General features: G+C 38.0%; 2 long non-coding RNA genes across 8 annotated transcripts in view; one reads left to right on the forward strand and one right to left on the reverse strand.

Annotated features, from left to right (window-relative positions):
• LOC102723370 (uncharacterized) overlaps window positions 1-757 on the forward strand; it is a 366,694-nt gene extending 365,937 nt beyond the window's left edge. For all 7 annotated transcript variants that reach the window (XR_007062619.1, XR_931110.3, XR_931111.3 and 4 more), the window contains one exon: window positions 584-757. This is a non-coding gene — a long non-coding RNA (uncharacterized LOC102723370). The remainder of the gene's footprint in view (window positions 1-583) is intronic.
• The window catches only part of LOC124902645 (uncharacterized), a 74,729-nt gene that overhangs the window by 23,948 nt on the left and 34,726 nt on the right, over window positions 1-16,055 (reverse strand). The window lies entirely within an intron of this gene.

Below are 16,055 nucleotides of genomic sequence, written 5' to 3' on the forward strand. Positions count from 1 at the left end.
CAAAGCTATCAAGCAATGTTAATCAAATGAATAGAAAAAGAGCTTCTGATTACTCTTCCAGGTAAGAAAAGTAAAGGTTCTCACCAATCCTAAACTGTAAAGATTTTTTTCCATTCCCATAAGACCAGTCCTGAAAAAACACCAATTCTTTAGGTCAAGATGTTACATTTAATTGATTATCTCTGCTTTGGTGTGAACAATCAGAACACATACTCATCAACAGGGCAAACCACTTGAAACAAATCATTTAGAAATGCAAGCAAGACAAAGAGGAAATTCTTCTCAGGGCAGCTTTCTGAATTTCCCTAACCCATTAAAATATCATTCCCTATAACAAATGATGGTTTCACCATGGAAATTCTGATTTGTAGGTTTCAGGATAGCTAAAGCATATCCATATTTCAGTATAAATACATACCAAACCATCTTTTTCAGCAATGAGTCAGAAAAATTCTCTGTGAAAAAGACTTTACAGAGCTACAGAATACTCACAGAGTGACATTTTTTCTCAAAGGGTAGAACTTCATGATTAGAAGATCTATGGTAATGGTTTTTGTTTTAAATATACTTCCTTCTTTCCTAGGCTTCACCAAGTCAAGTAGGGGAGGACATCTTCACTCTGCAACTTGCCCTACTGAATGCAGAAAGTACTGTCTACTTAGATAAAGCCTACACTAAAAGGGAATTGAATCTCTGCAAATAAGTATGTGGATCTAATTTCTACCTTCCAGATTAAAAGTATAATTAAAAATGAAAACCTTTGTAGGACTAAATTGATTTTGCAGACAAATCTCACTTCTTAGCTTGAGCTGACTTATTCCCAATCTTAAACCCTAATTAATAACATACAAGAATGAGTTTTATTATACATGCCACTTAAATTAACTGTTAATATCATCTCCTGAGCTGCCAACAGAACTTTTCTACAATGATGGTAATGTTCTATATCTGTGCTGTCCAATGTAGGAGTGAAGAGCCACAGGTATTTATTGAGGATTATCCTCAATATCTGCTAGTGTGATTGAGAATTTTACATTTAATTTAACTTTAATTACTTTTTACACTAAATTTAATAAACAATTTTGCAACGCTAAACTTGACAACTTAAATAAAGTGGGCAAATTCCTTGAAAGATCCACATTATCAAAGCTCACTCAAGAAGACATAGATAACCAGAATAGCCCTTTATCTTATGAAGAAATTGAATTTCCAGTTATAAACTTTCCCACAAAGAAAACTTCAAGCCTGGAGTTTATGGCTTCACTGGTCTATCAAGCATTTTAAAAACTAGAAAAGTAATGGTCATACACAAATTGTTCATTTCTTCTAGAAAATTGAAAAGAAGAGAATACTTACAACTCATTTTATGAGTTTTGTCAAAGCCAGACAAAAATATTACAAAAATACCATTACAGACCAATATCCCTTATGAACATACATGGAAAAATTCCTAGCCAGTTCTTAGTAAATTAAATTCAACATTGTGTGAAATGGACAACACATCATGATCAAATTGGATTTATATCAGGAATAAATCTTGTTTTGACATTCAAAAATGAATCAATGTGATTTATCACATTATCAAACCAGCCAAAGAAAAAGAATGTTTATATCAATAAATGTAGAAAAGTATTTGTTGAAATTCAACTTCCATTCCTGAAAAAACAAAAACAACTCCACCAAATAAGAATAGAAGGAATTTCTCTCTGCATTGATTTTGTATCCTGAGATTTTGCTTTAGTTGCTTGTCAGCTTAAGGAGATTTTGGGCTGAAACGATAGGGTTTGCTAAGTATACATTCATGTTACCTTCAAACAGAGACAATTTGACTTTCTTTTTTCCTAATTGAATACCCTTTATTTCTTTCTCCTGCCTGATTTCCCTGGCCAGAACTTCCAATACTATGTTGAATAGGAGTGGTGAAAGAGGGCATCCTTGTCTTGTGCCGGTTTTCAAAGGGAATCCTTTCAGTTTTTTCCCATTCAGTATGATATTGGCTGTGAGTTTGTCATAAATAGCTTTCATTATTTTGAGATATGGTCCATCAATACCTAGTTTATTGAGAGTTTTTAGCATAGAAGGCTGTAGAATTTTGTTGAAGGCCTTTTCTGCATCTATTGAGATGACCATGTGGCTTTGGTCATTGGTTCTGTTTAATGTGATGGACTACATTTATTAATTTGTGTATGTTGAACTAGTCTTGCATCCCAGGGATGAAGCCAACTTGAATGTGGTGGATAAGCTTTTTGATGTGCTGCTGGGTTCGGTTTGCCAGTATTTCATTGAGGATTTTCACGTCAATGTTCATCAGGGACATTGGCCTAAAATTCTCTTCTATTGTTGTGTCTCTACCAGTCCCAGTGAGATGAACCAGGTACCTCAGTTGGACATGGAGAAATCACCTGTCTTCTGCATTGTTCTCCCTGGGAGCTGTAGACAGGAGCTTTTCCTATTTGGCCATCTTGGAAGTGCCCCATCATTTCTTCTAAAAATATTTAAGCTTCTTGAGCACCAATTATGTTTCAATAAAATCATGACAATTGTGACTTAAGAAAGATTCATTACAAGATGACTATAAAATATCATGAAAGATGTGAAAGTTAGATATAAATATTACTGTTTAATCATCTGCCTGCCTAGACTTCTTTTTCTCAACAAAGTACCTTACCCTATCCTTTTAAATGGCCTGTAAATTCTACTGCATTTCACTATGACTGGATCAGATGACATGGAGCAAATGGAATCCTTGTAGCAGTCACATCATGTGGAATACTGACAACATAACACAAGTGCTTCCATTTCCTCTTCCATATCCAGAGCATATACTATATTTAATCATGGCACATGACTTCAGTAACTTTGCAAATATCTTGAATGCTTTTAATAGTCTAGACCTGCAAATGTGGCTAATTAAATCACAAATTTTAACAGCTTTTTGAGGCTTCATTGACATATGATATGGTTTGAATGTATCCCCCCAAAGTCCCTATGTTGGAAAAAATCAGTGTGCAAAAATCACAAGCATTCCTAAACACCAATAACAGACAAACAGAGAGCCAAATTATGAGTGAACTCTCATTCACAATTGCTACAAAGAGAATTAAATATCTTGGAATACAACTTACAAGGGATGTGAAGGACCTCTTCAAGGAGAACTACAAGCCACTGCTCAATGAAATGAAAGAGGACACAAACAAATGGAAGAACATACTATGCTAATGGATAGGAAGAATCAATATTGTGAAAATGGCCATACTGCCCAAAGTAATTTATACATTTAACGCTATCCCCATCAAGCTACTACTGACTTTCTTCACATAATTAGAAAAAAACTACTTTAAATTTTATATAGAACCAAAAAAGAACCTGCATAGACAAGACAGTCCTAAGCAAAAACAACAAAGCTAGAGGCATCACACTACCTGACTTCAAACTATACTACAAGGCTACAGTAACCAAAACAGCATGGTACTGGTACAAAAACAGATATATAGTCCAATGGAACAGAACAGAGGCCTCAGAAATAACTATCATCAGAGTGAACAGGCAACCTACAGAATGAAAGAAAATGTCTGCAATCTATCCATCTGACACAGAACTAATACCCAGAATCTACAAAGAACTTAAACAAATTTACAAGAAAAAAACACCCCCAGCAAAAAGTGGGCAAAGGATATGAACAGATACTTCTCAATAGGAGACATTTATGCAGTCAACAGACATATGAAAAAATGCTCATCATCACTGGTCATCAAATAAATGCAAATCAAAACCACAATGAGATACCATCTCATGCCAGTTAGAATGGTGATCATTAAAAAGTCAAGAAACAACAGATGCTGGAGAGGATGTGGAGAAATACGAAAGTTTTACACTGTTCTTGGGAGTGTAAATTAGTTCAACCATTGTGGAAGACAGTGATTCCTCAAGGATCTAGAACTAGAAATACCACTTGACCCAGCAATCCCATTACTGGGTATATGTCCAAAGGATTATAAATCATGCTACTATAAAGACACATGCACACATAAGTTTATTGCGGCACTGTTCACAATAGCAAAGACTTGGAACCAACCCAAATGTCCATCAGTAATAGACTGAATAAAGAAAATGTGGCACATATATACCATGAAATACTATGCAGCCATAAAAAAGGATGAGTTAATGTCCTTTTCAGGGACATAGATGAAGCTGGAAACCATCATTCTCAGCAAACTATCACAAGGACAGAAAACCAAATACCACATGTTCTCACTCATAAGTGGGAGTTGAACAATGAGAGCACATGGACACAGGGAGGGGATCATCCCACACCATGGCCTTTTCGGGGGTGGGGGTCTGGGGGAGGGATAGCATTAGGAGAAATACCTAATGTAAATGACAAGTTGATGGGTGCAGCAAACCAACATGGCAAATGTATACCTATGTTACAAACCTGCAGGTTGTGCCCATGTACCCTAGAACTTAAAGTATAATAATAATAGTAAAAGAAATGTTTTAAAGTTTTACAGAAACGATTTTACCTACCTAGAAATAAAATAATAAATCACATTTTTGAAAGTCTTCATTCTTATTACCTAAAACATATAATAGCCCTATTCAAAAAAAACAAAAAGATTATCATGGCTATAAGACTGACACACACTGCTATAAGGTTAGGTAGTAAAAGTTATATCATATGTCTTAGGATTCATAAGAACTGAAGTGTGAATGCTGTAGGCAATATGTGGGTGTATTATTTTGTTTGCGTTGTTACAAAAGAATACCTGAGGCTGGGTAAAATAAACCTATTTCCTTCATAAATTCACAGGCTGCAAAAGAAGCATGGTACCACAGTTTGCTCCAGGTGAGGGCTTCAAGCAGCTTCCACTTGTGATAGAAGGGGATAAGAATCCATGTGTGCAGAAATTACATGATGAGTGGAAAACCATGAGAGAGAGAGAAAGAGGTGCCAGGCTGTTTTCAACAACCAGTTGTGTAGGATCTATAAATGAAAACTTATTCACTCCTGAGAGAATGGCACCAGGTCATTCATGAGAAATCCAGCCCCACGATCCAAACACCTCCCATTAGATTCCAGCCCAAATATTGGGCATCAGATTTCAACTTGAGGTTTGGAGGATCAAATATCCAAACAATAGCAGTAGGGAAAGGGAGACACTAATAATATGAACTCAGGTAAATAAAATGTAAGATTGCATTCTGAGTATTAAAACTCTAATAATTAAAACTCTAAATATTATAACTCAAATAACTCTAATAAACTATGTATATAGTTTATATAAAGTTATACTATATATATAGTTATACAAACTATATATATATAAGCCTCTCAGATTAGGGGAGATATCTATCTATATAGATAGATAAATATATAGAGATAAGTAGAGATATAATCTATATAAAATCTATAATCTATATATAATCTATAGATATTATATATAGTGTCTATCCATCTATATCTACAGATGGATGGATAGATGATAGATAGATAGATGATAGATATATAGATAGATAGATAGATAGATAGACAGATAGATAGATAGATAGATAGACAGATTGATAGATCTCCCCAAATCTGAGGAGAGGAATGGACATCCAAATTCAAAAAGGTCAACAGGCCTGGAATAGGATAAATCCAAAGAATCCTATACCAAGATACATGATAATCAAATCATCAAAAGACAAAACAAAGTCAAAATTTTAAATGTAGCAAAATAAAAGTGACTCTTCATGCACAAGAGAGTCCCTGTATGACTACCAAGTGGTTTTCTCAGCAGAGACCTTGCAGGCCAGAAGGAAAAGGGCGGATATATTCAAAGTGCTGAAGAAGAAAAAAAAACTCTGCCAACTAAGAATGTTAAATCTGGCAAAAGTGTCTTCTAAAAATGATGAATGAAGAATGCCTTTCCCAGACAAGCAAAAAATGATAGTGTTTTCTTTGTTTTTTACCACTAGATATGCTTTACAGGAAATGCTAATGGGAGTTCTATAAGTCAAAACAAACTGATGCTAAATAGTAACACAAAAACATATGAAAGTATAAACTTTCTATATAAATGTAAAAATACAGAAAAGTCGAGAATACTGTAATAAGTGATGAGGGTATCTAAATCATTTTTTATTTTAGTATAAAAGTAAAAAGACGAAAGTATTAAGAACATAACTAAAAAATGTTAATGGATACATAATATAAAAATATGTAAATTATGATGTAAATAACATAAAATAGGAGAGGAATTAAAAGTGTAGATGTAAATGGAGCAAAAGAACTATAAGACAAATGATGTGGTTTAGCTGTGTCCCCAACCAAATCTCATCTTGAATTTACATGTGCTGTGGGAGGGACCTGGTGGGTAATTCAATCATGGTAGCAGGTCATTCCCATGCTTTTCTTGTGATAGTGAGTAAGTCTCACGATGTCTGATGGTTTCATAAGGGGGAGATTCCCTGCACAAGCTCTTTCTCTTTGCCTGCTGTCATCCATGTAAGACATGACTTCCTCCTCCTTTCCTTCTGCCATGATTGTGAGGTCTCCTCAGCCACTCAGAATTGTAAGTGTATTAAATCTCTTTCTTTTGTAAATTGCCCAGTCTCGGGCATCTTTATCAGCAGTGCGAGAACAGGCTAATACAACAAACAAACAAAATAGCAATAGTAAGTCCTTTGCTAGCAAAAATTGTTTTAAACATAAATGGTTTAAAATTCTTAATCCAAAGACATAGAGTGACTGAATAGATTTTTTTTTTAAAAAAAGACCCAACTATATGCTGTTTTCCAGAGACTCACTTGAGATTTAAGGACACACAGACTAAAAGTGAAGGGATAGAATAAAAGGTATTTCATGCAAATGGTAAACAAAAGATTGCTGGGGTGGCTTTACTTAAACAAACACAGAGGAGGTGCAAGGTGGCTGACTAGAAGCAGCTATTGTGTGCCACTCTCATGGAGAGGAGATAGAATGAGAAGTAAACACTAGCTCTTCAAATGGATTATCCAGGAGGTAATGTTGGGATTTATCAAATAAGCAATAGTGACCCATGGAGCTCAGAGAGAAGTAAGGCAGGAAAAGCACACACCCAGGATTGGCATGGCACCAAGAGTGGCTCCCCACCAAGAGGATAGAGTAAGTGAGCAAGAGCATCTCAGGACCCATACTTCTGCCATGAGTCTTTGAAATCCTTAGCACAGAAGATCCCCTTGACCTCCTCTTTAGAGCCTCCAGACTAACATGGAGAGTTTTGTGAAAGCTGGGTAGATCTGCCACTGAAGCCTACATGGAGCCCCAATGGTCTTAGATCCCTAAGTACCCTGAAGCCAGCTTCCATAGCTCCAAACAACAAGGGAGGCCAGCCTATCTCATGCGCTCTCAGGATAGGAGCTGCATCCTTGGTGCTGAGTAGATGGACTATAGACTTCACCTCTGCTGCACATCAACAGGCAAAGCCCATTGGCCTGGGACCCCGATGCAGCCACTCCACCTGTATTAGTCTATTTTCACACTGCTGATAAAGACATACCTGAGATTGGACAATTTACAAAAGAAAGAGGTTTAATGGACTTACAGTTCCATATGGCTGGGGAGTCCTCACAATCATGGAGGAAGGCAAGGAGGAACAAGTTATGTCTTACATGGATGGCAGCAAGCAAAAAGAGAGAGAATTTGTTCAGGGAAACTCCCCCTTATAAAACCATCAGATCTCATGAGATTTATCCGCTATCACAAGAACAGCAGAGAAAAGACCCACCCCCATGATTCCATTATCTCCCACCATGTCCTTCCCACAACACATGGAAATTAAAGGAGTACAATTTAAGATGATATTTGGGTGGGGACACAGTGCCAAACCATATCATTCCACCCCTGGTGTTGTGGGAAATCAGGGACCCCAAACGGAGGGACTGGCTGAAGCCATGACAGAAGAACGTGGATTGTGAAGATTTTGTGGACATTTATTAGTTCCCCAAATTAATACTTTTATAATTTCTTATGCCCGTCTTTACTGCAGTCCCTAAACATAAATTGTAAAGATTTCATGGACACTTATCACTTCCCCAATCAATACCCTTGTGATTTCCTATGCCTGTCTTTGCTTTAATCTCTTAATCCTGTCAGCCAAGGAGGATGTATGTCGCCTCAGGACCATGTGATAATTGCATTAACTGCACAAATTGTAGAGCATGTGTGTTTAAACAATATGAAATCTGGGCACCTTGAAAAAAGAACAAGATAACAGCAATGTTTAGGAAATAAGAGAGATAAACTTAAACTCTGACCGCTGGTGAGCCAGGCAGAACAGAGCCATATTTCTCTTCTTTCAAAAGCAAATGGGAGAAATATCGCTGAATTCTTTTTCTCAGCATGGAATATCCCTGAGAAAGAGAATGCGCACCTGGGGGTAGGTCTCTGAACTGGACCCCCGGGGCGTACCTGTCTCTTATGGTCAAGTCTGCAGAGATGAAATAAATTCCAGTCTCCCATAGCGCTCCCAGGCTTATTAGGAAGAAGAAATTCCCGCCTAATAAATTTTGGTCAGACCGGTTGATCTCAAAACCCTGTCTCCTGATAAGATGTTATCAATGACAATGGTGCCCGAAACTTCATTAGCAATTTTAATTTCGCCTCAGTCTTGTGGTCCTGTGATCTCATCCTGCCTCCACTTGCCTTGTGATATTCTATTACCCTGTTAAGTACTTGATGCCTGTCACCCACACCTATTTGCACACTCCCTCCCCTTTTGAAAATCCCTAATAAAAACTTGCTGGTTTTTGTGGCTTGTGGGGCATCATGGATCCTACCAATGTGTGATGTCTCCCCTGGACACCCAGCTTTAAAATTTCTCTCTTTTGTACTCTGTCCCTTTATTTCTCAAGCCAGCCAACACTTAGGAAAATAGAAAAGAACCTACGTGATTTTCAGGGCAGGTTCCCCAAAACCCTGGCCCCTCCAAAATCTCATGTCCTCACATTTCAATACCAATAATATCTTCCCAACAGTCTCCCAAAGTGTTAACTCAGTTCAGCATTAACTCCAAAGTCCACAGTCCAAAGTCTCATCCAAGACAAGGCAAGTCCCTTCTACCTATGAGCCTGTGCAATCAAAAACAAGTTAGTTACTTTCTAGATACAATGGGGGTATAGGCATTGGGTAAATACAGCTGTTCCAAATGGGAGAAATTGAGCAAAGCAAAGGGGCTACAGGCATCGTGCAATCTGAAATCCAGCAGGGTAGTCAAATCTTGAAGTTCCAAAATGATCTCCTTTGACTCTACATCTCACATCAGGGTCATGCTGATGCAAGAGATGGGTTTTCATGGTCTTGGGCACCTCCGTCCCTGTAGCTCTGCAGAGTATAGTCCCCCTCCTGGCTACTTTCCCCCTGCATGGGCTGGCATTGAGTGTCTGCAGCTTTTCCAGGTGCACAGTGGATCTACCATTCTGGGGTCTGGAGGATGGTTGCCCTCTTCTCACAGCTCCACTAGGTGGTGCCCCATAGAGATTCTGTGTGGAGACTTTGACCCCACATTTCCCTTCCACACTGCCCAGCAAAGGTTCTCCATGAGGGCCCACCCCTGCAACAAACATCTGCCTGGGCATCCAAGTGTTTCCATACATCCTCTGAAATCTAGGCAGAGGTTCCCAAACCACAATTCTTGACTTCTGTGTACCCACAAGCTCAACACCATGTGGAAGCTGCCAAGGTTTGAGGCTTCCACCCTCTGAAGCAACAGCCTGAGCTGTACCTTGGCCCCTTTTAGCCATGGTTGGAGGAACTGAAATGCAGGGCACCAAGTCCCTAGGCTTCACAGAGCAGGGAGCCCGGGGTCTGGCCCAGGAAACCATCTTTTCCTCCTAGTCCTCCGGGCCTGTGATGGGAGGGGCTGTCATGAAGATCTCTGATATGCCCTGGAGACTTTTTCACCATTGTCATGGGGAATAACATCTCGTTACTTATGCAAATTTCTGCAGTGACTGGAATTTCTCCACAGAAAATGGGATTTTCTTTTCCATCACATAGTCAGGCTGAAAATTTTCCAAACTTTTATGCTGTTTCCTTTTTAAAACTGAATGCTTTTAACAGCACCCAAGTTACCTCTTGAATACTTTGCTGCTTAGAAATTTCTTCTGCCAGATACCCTAAATCATATACCTCAAGTTCAAAGCTCCACAAATCTTTAGGGCAGGGGCAAAATGCAGCCAGTCCCTTTGCTAAAATATAACAAGAGTCACCTTTGCTCCAGTTCTCAACAAGTTCCTCATCTCCATCTGAGACCACCTCAGCCTGAATTCGTTGTCTATATCATTATCAGCATTTTGGACAAAGTCATTAAACAAGTCCCTAGGGAGTTCCAAACTTTCCCACATTCTCCTGTCTTCTTCTGAGCCCTCCACACTGTTCCAACCTCTGCCTGTTACACAGTTCCAAAGTCACTTCCACATTTTCAGGTATTTTTTCAGCAGCACCCCACTCTACTGGTACCAATTTACTGTGTTAGTCTATTTTCATGCTGCTGATAAAGACATACCTGAGACTGGGAAGACAAAGAGGTTTAATGGACTTACAGTTCCACATGGCTGGTGAGGCCTCACAATCATGGTGGAAGGCAAGGAGGAGCAAGTCACGTCCTACATGGATGGCAGCAGGCAAAAAAAGAGAGAGTTTGTGCTGGGAAACATCCATTTTTAAAACCATCAGATCTCATTAGAATTATTCATTATCACGAGAACAGCACAGGAAAGAGCTGCCCCCATGATTCAGTCATCTCCCACTGGGTCAGTCCCACAACATGTGAGAATTATGGGAGTACAATTCAAGATGAGTTTGGGTGGGTACACAGAGCCATAACATATCACCACCCTTGTCTGAGCATTTAGACCAGTCCCAGCTCTGCATTTCTCTGATAGAGCTCCCAGAGGTAACCAACAAGTTTGCAGTGTTTGCCACTGCCACAGCCCCTATCCTATTGCCCTCATGATGGAGATCTGAGAGCTCAAGAACTGTCAAAGGCCTTCAGTATACTGCAGCTGCCATGTGGAAAAGCAGACAGATGTTTTTCATGGAGGTCCCTGACCCTCTGGATCCTCACTGGGCAGGGCCTCCCAAACTGGGCTCCCAGTGCAGCCGCCCTACCACTCTCTGATCACCTCAGTCAGTGGTGGCTCTGTGTTTCTCTGGAGAGGAATTCCTAGAAACAACTGACAGGGTTTCTGTCATTGCTGTTGTGGTGGTACCTGTCTTTGTTGGTCTTGTGCTACAGAGCAAAGACCCTGATCACTTTGCTTGCACCTCCAGAATTCTACAGCCACTGTGTGAAGAGAAGCCCAGTCTCTCTTCCCTATGAGTCCCTGACCCCAAGCTATTCACGAGGTAAGACCTCCAGTTTGGGCCTACATCACAGTTACCCCATCACCAGCTTATCATTCTAATTGGTAGAGGATCTGTGTTTCTGTGGGGTGAAACTCCCAGAGACAAGTGACAGGCCCTCTGCCATTGTCAATGCCAAGGTCCTTGCCTCTGCTGCACCCAAGCTGAAGAGGAAACAAAAAGCATGAGCTTACCCTAAGGCTGCGGTGCATAGCCTGGGAGTACCAAGCTGACATCTGTGGCCAGCACCTGAGTGAAAGAGGAGTCCACAGTTTCAGAGCACTGAGAAGGGTATGGCTGCAAAAATGAGGAGATACAGAGGAGCCACGCAAAATAATACCCTATCTACCAGCCATTATGCTTAAGTGCCATCTACTGGATCATAGCTCAAACTACAACACCAAAAATAATTTTCTTAATACACTTCCATGTGAAACCAAGGGCAAGAATTCAGCCATAAATAAAGACCCTGCAAAAGTCCTCTGAAAACAGGCAGAAATGAAACCAAGGGACTGTACTCAAATTTTTCCACAGTTACAAGACCATTAGCCCACACAGATGGGAAAGAGCCAGTGCAAAAACTCTGGCAATTCTAATATCCAGAGAGTCTTCTTGCCTCCACACAACTGCACTACCTCTCCAGCAATGGTTCTTAACCAGAATGAAATGGCTGAAATGACAGACGTACAATTAAGAATCTTGATGGCAATGAAGATCATTGAGATCCAGGAGAAAGTTAAAACTTATCCAAGAAATCTAAGAATCTAGTAAAATGATTCAAAGGATGAAAGATGAAATAGCCATTTTAATAAAGAAACAAACTAATCTGATACAGCTTAAAAACACACTACTAGAATTTCATAATGCAATCAAAAATATTAACATCAGAATAGACCAAGCTGAGGAAGGAATCTTAGAGCTCAAAGACTGGTTCTTCAACTTAATCAGAAAAATAAAATTAAAAAATGAACAAAACTGCCAAGAATTATGGAATTATGTAAAGAGACTAACCTATGATGCTTTGGCATCTTTGAAAGAGAAAGAGAAAGCAAGAAAATTGGAAATCATTTGAGGATGTTGTCCATGAAAATCTCCCCAACATCACTAGAAAGGTCAACATTCAAATTCAAGAAATCCAGATAATCTGTGTGAGATACTATACAAGATAACCATCCCAAAGACGCATAGTCAGAAGATTCTCCCAGGTCAATGCAGAAGAAAAAACATTAAAGACAGCTACAGAGAAGGGGCAGAACACCTAAAAAGGAACCCCAACAGGCTAACAGTAGACCTTTCAGCAGAAACTCTACAAGCCAGAAGATCCTTAAGGAAAAGAAACTCCAACCAACAATTTTTTATCCAGCCAAACTAAGCTTCATAAGTGAAGAAAGTATGATTCCTTTCAGACAAGCAAATGCTAGGGGAATTTGTTCCTACCAGAACTGCCTTAGAAGAGATCCTTAAAGGAGCGCTAAACATGGAAATGAAAGACTTACCATAAACCACAAAAACACCCTTAAGTACATAGACTATTGACAATATAAAGCAACTACACAATCAAGTCTACATTACAACCAGCTAACAAAACAATGACCGAAACAAATCCACATATTTCAGTGTTAACCTTTAACATAAATGGGCTAAATGCCCCATTTAAAAGGCACAAAGGGGTTAAGTTGCATAAAGAAGCAAGACCCAACTGTATGCTGCCTTTTAAAGACCCATCTCACATGCAATGATACCCATAGGCTAAAAGTAAAGTCTCTGTTCAATGCAGAAGAAAGAAAGAAAGAAGATCTGATAAACAATTCCAGCAAAGTTTCAGGATACAAAATCAATGAACAAAAATTGTTAGCATTTCTACACCTCAATAACATCCAGGCTGAGAGACAAGTGAAGAACACAGTCTCATTTGTAATAGCTGCAAAAAGAATAAAATACCTAGAAATACAGCTAACCAAGGACGTGAAAGATCTCTACCATGCGAATTATAAAACACCTCTTAAATAAATCAGAGATGACACAAAGAAATGGAAAAACATTCTATATTCATGGATAGGAAGAATCAACATTGTTAAAATGGTCATATTACGCAAAGCAATTTACAAATTCAATGATATTCCTATAAAACTACCAATGATATTTTTCAGAGTTAGAAAAAACTATTGTAAAATTCACATGAACCCAAAAAGAGAGAGTGATAGGCCAAAGCAATCCTAAGTAAAAAGAACAAAGCTGGAGATATCACACTGCTCAACTTCAAACTATAGTACAAGGATACAGTAACCAAAACAGCATGGTACTGGAACAAAACCAGACACATTGACCAGTGGAATAGACTAGAGAATCCAGAAATTAAGCTGCACACATACAACCAACTGACCTTTGACAAAGCCAACAATAACAAGCAATGGGGGACAGGGCACCTTATTCAATAAATGTTGTTATAACTGACTAACCATATGCAGAAGGCTAAAACTGAACTCCTACCTGTCACTATATACAAAAATTAACTCACGATGGATAAAAACCCTAGAAGAAAACCTAGGAAATATTATGAATATCAACCCTGGCAACATTTTCATGATGAAAACCCCAAAAGCAATTGCAACAAGGACAAAAATTGACAAATGGGACTTAATTAAACTAATGAGTTTCTGCACAGCAAAAGAAACTATCAACAGAATAAATAGGCAAAGTATTTGTAATAGGGATAAAATATTTGTAAATTATGAATCCAACAAAGGTCAAATATTCATAGTCTATAAGAAACAAACAAGAAGAAAACAAACAACCCCACTAAAAAATTGGTAAATGACATGAACAGGCACTTCTCTAAAAGAAGAGGTACACACCACCAACAAGCATACAAAAAAGGCTCAAAAGCACTAATCATTAGAGAAATGCAAATCAAAACCGCAATGAGATACCATCTCACACCAGTCAGAATGGCTATGATTAAAAACTCAAAAAATAACAGATGCTGGCAAGGGTGCAGAGGAAAGGGAATGCTTATACACTTTGGTGGGAATGTAAATTAGTTCAGACACTGTGGAAAGCAGTTTAGAGGTTTCTCAAAAAAAAAAAAAAAACTTAAAACAGAATTACTATTTGACCCAGCAATCTCATTACTGAGTATATACCCAGAGGAATATAAATCATTCTACCATAAAGACCCATGAACACATATGTTTACTGCAGCACTATTCACAATAGCACAGACATGGGATTAACCTAGATGCCCATCAGTGATGGACTGGAAAAAGAAAATGTGGTACATAGACACAATGGAATACTATGCAGCCATGAAAATGAATTAAATCATGTCTTTTGCAGCAACATGGATGAAGTCAGAGGCCATTATACTAAGGGAATTAAAACAGGAACAGAAAACCAAATATCACATGTTCTCACTTATAAGTGGGAGCTAAACACTGAGTACATGTAGACAAAAATAAGGGAACAATAGACACCAGACCTCTTTCTTGTGGTTAGAGGGTAGGAGGAGGGTGAGTGTTGGAAAAATATCTACTGAGTACTGTACTCATTGCCTGGGTGACAAAATAATCTGTACACCAAACCCTTGTGACACACAATTTACCCATGTAACAAATCTGTACATGTACCTGAAATCTGAACCTAAAATAAAAGTTGGAAAAAATAAAAAATAAATAAATGAATTGAAATCTGAAAAATACAGAAACAAAGTAGATGTTAAGTCCAAAACATTAAATAATGATAAAATTATCAATTTATCAGTAAGATATAAAAATATAAATATATATACCCCCAACATTAGAGCACCTACATGTATAAATCAAATATTTATAGAGATGAAATAAGATAGATAGCAATACAATAATACTAAGAGACTTCAATATCCCATCTTCAACAGTGGACAGAACATACAGACAGAAAACTGGTAAGGAAACAGTAGACTAGAACAACACCAGAGATCAAATTGTCCTAATAGACATATACAGAACATTTCATCCCAAAGAAGATGAATACTGGACATTCTTCACAAACATACAAGGGGAATTGTCCAGAATAGACCACATGTTAGGTCACAAAACAAATCTTAACAAATTTAAGAACATTGAAATTATATCAAGTATCTTTTTCTTACCACAATGGTTTGAAACTAGAAACCAAAACCAGAAGGAAGATCAGAAAATTCACAAATACGTGCATATTAAACAATACATTCCTGAACAACAAATGAAACAATAAAGAAATTTAAAAATCAAAAAATTTCTTAAGAAGATGAAAATAGAACATGCTAAAAGTTATGGAATGCAGTGAAGCACTTTTAAGAGGTACATTTATAGTGATTAACTCCTACATTAAAAATCAGAAACTAACAAGTTTTGGAAATTAGGGGGCAAAAAGAGCAGAAAGATATTAAATAATAAATTTACCTTTATACCTCCAGAAACTAGGGGAAAAAAAAGAACATAGCTCAAAGTTAGCAGAAGGAATAAAATAATAGGATTAAAGCAGAAATTAATGAAACAGAGACTAGAAAAACAATAGAAAAGATTAATAAAAGTTTTTCTTGAAAAGATAAACTGACAGTTCTTTATCTATAGTGTATTAGTCCATTTTCACTCTGCTACAGAGAACTACATGAGACTAGGTCATTTATGAAGAAAAGAGGTTTAATTGACTAACAATTCCACATGGCTGG

This window comes from Homo sapiens, chromosome 11 (genome assembly GCF_000001405.40).
Source record: "Homo sapiens chromosome 11, GRCh38.p14 Primary Assembly".
NCBI lineage: Eukaryota > Metazoa > Chordata > Mammalia > Primates > Hominidae > Homo > Homo sapiens.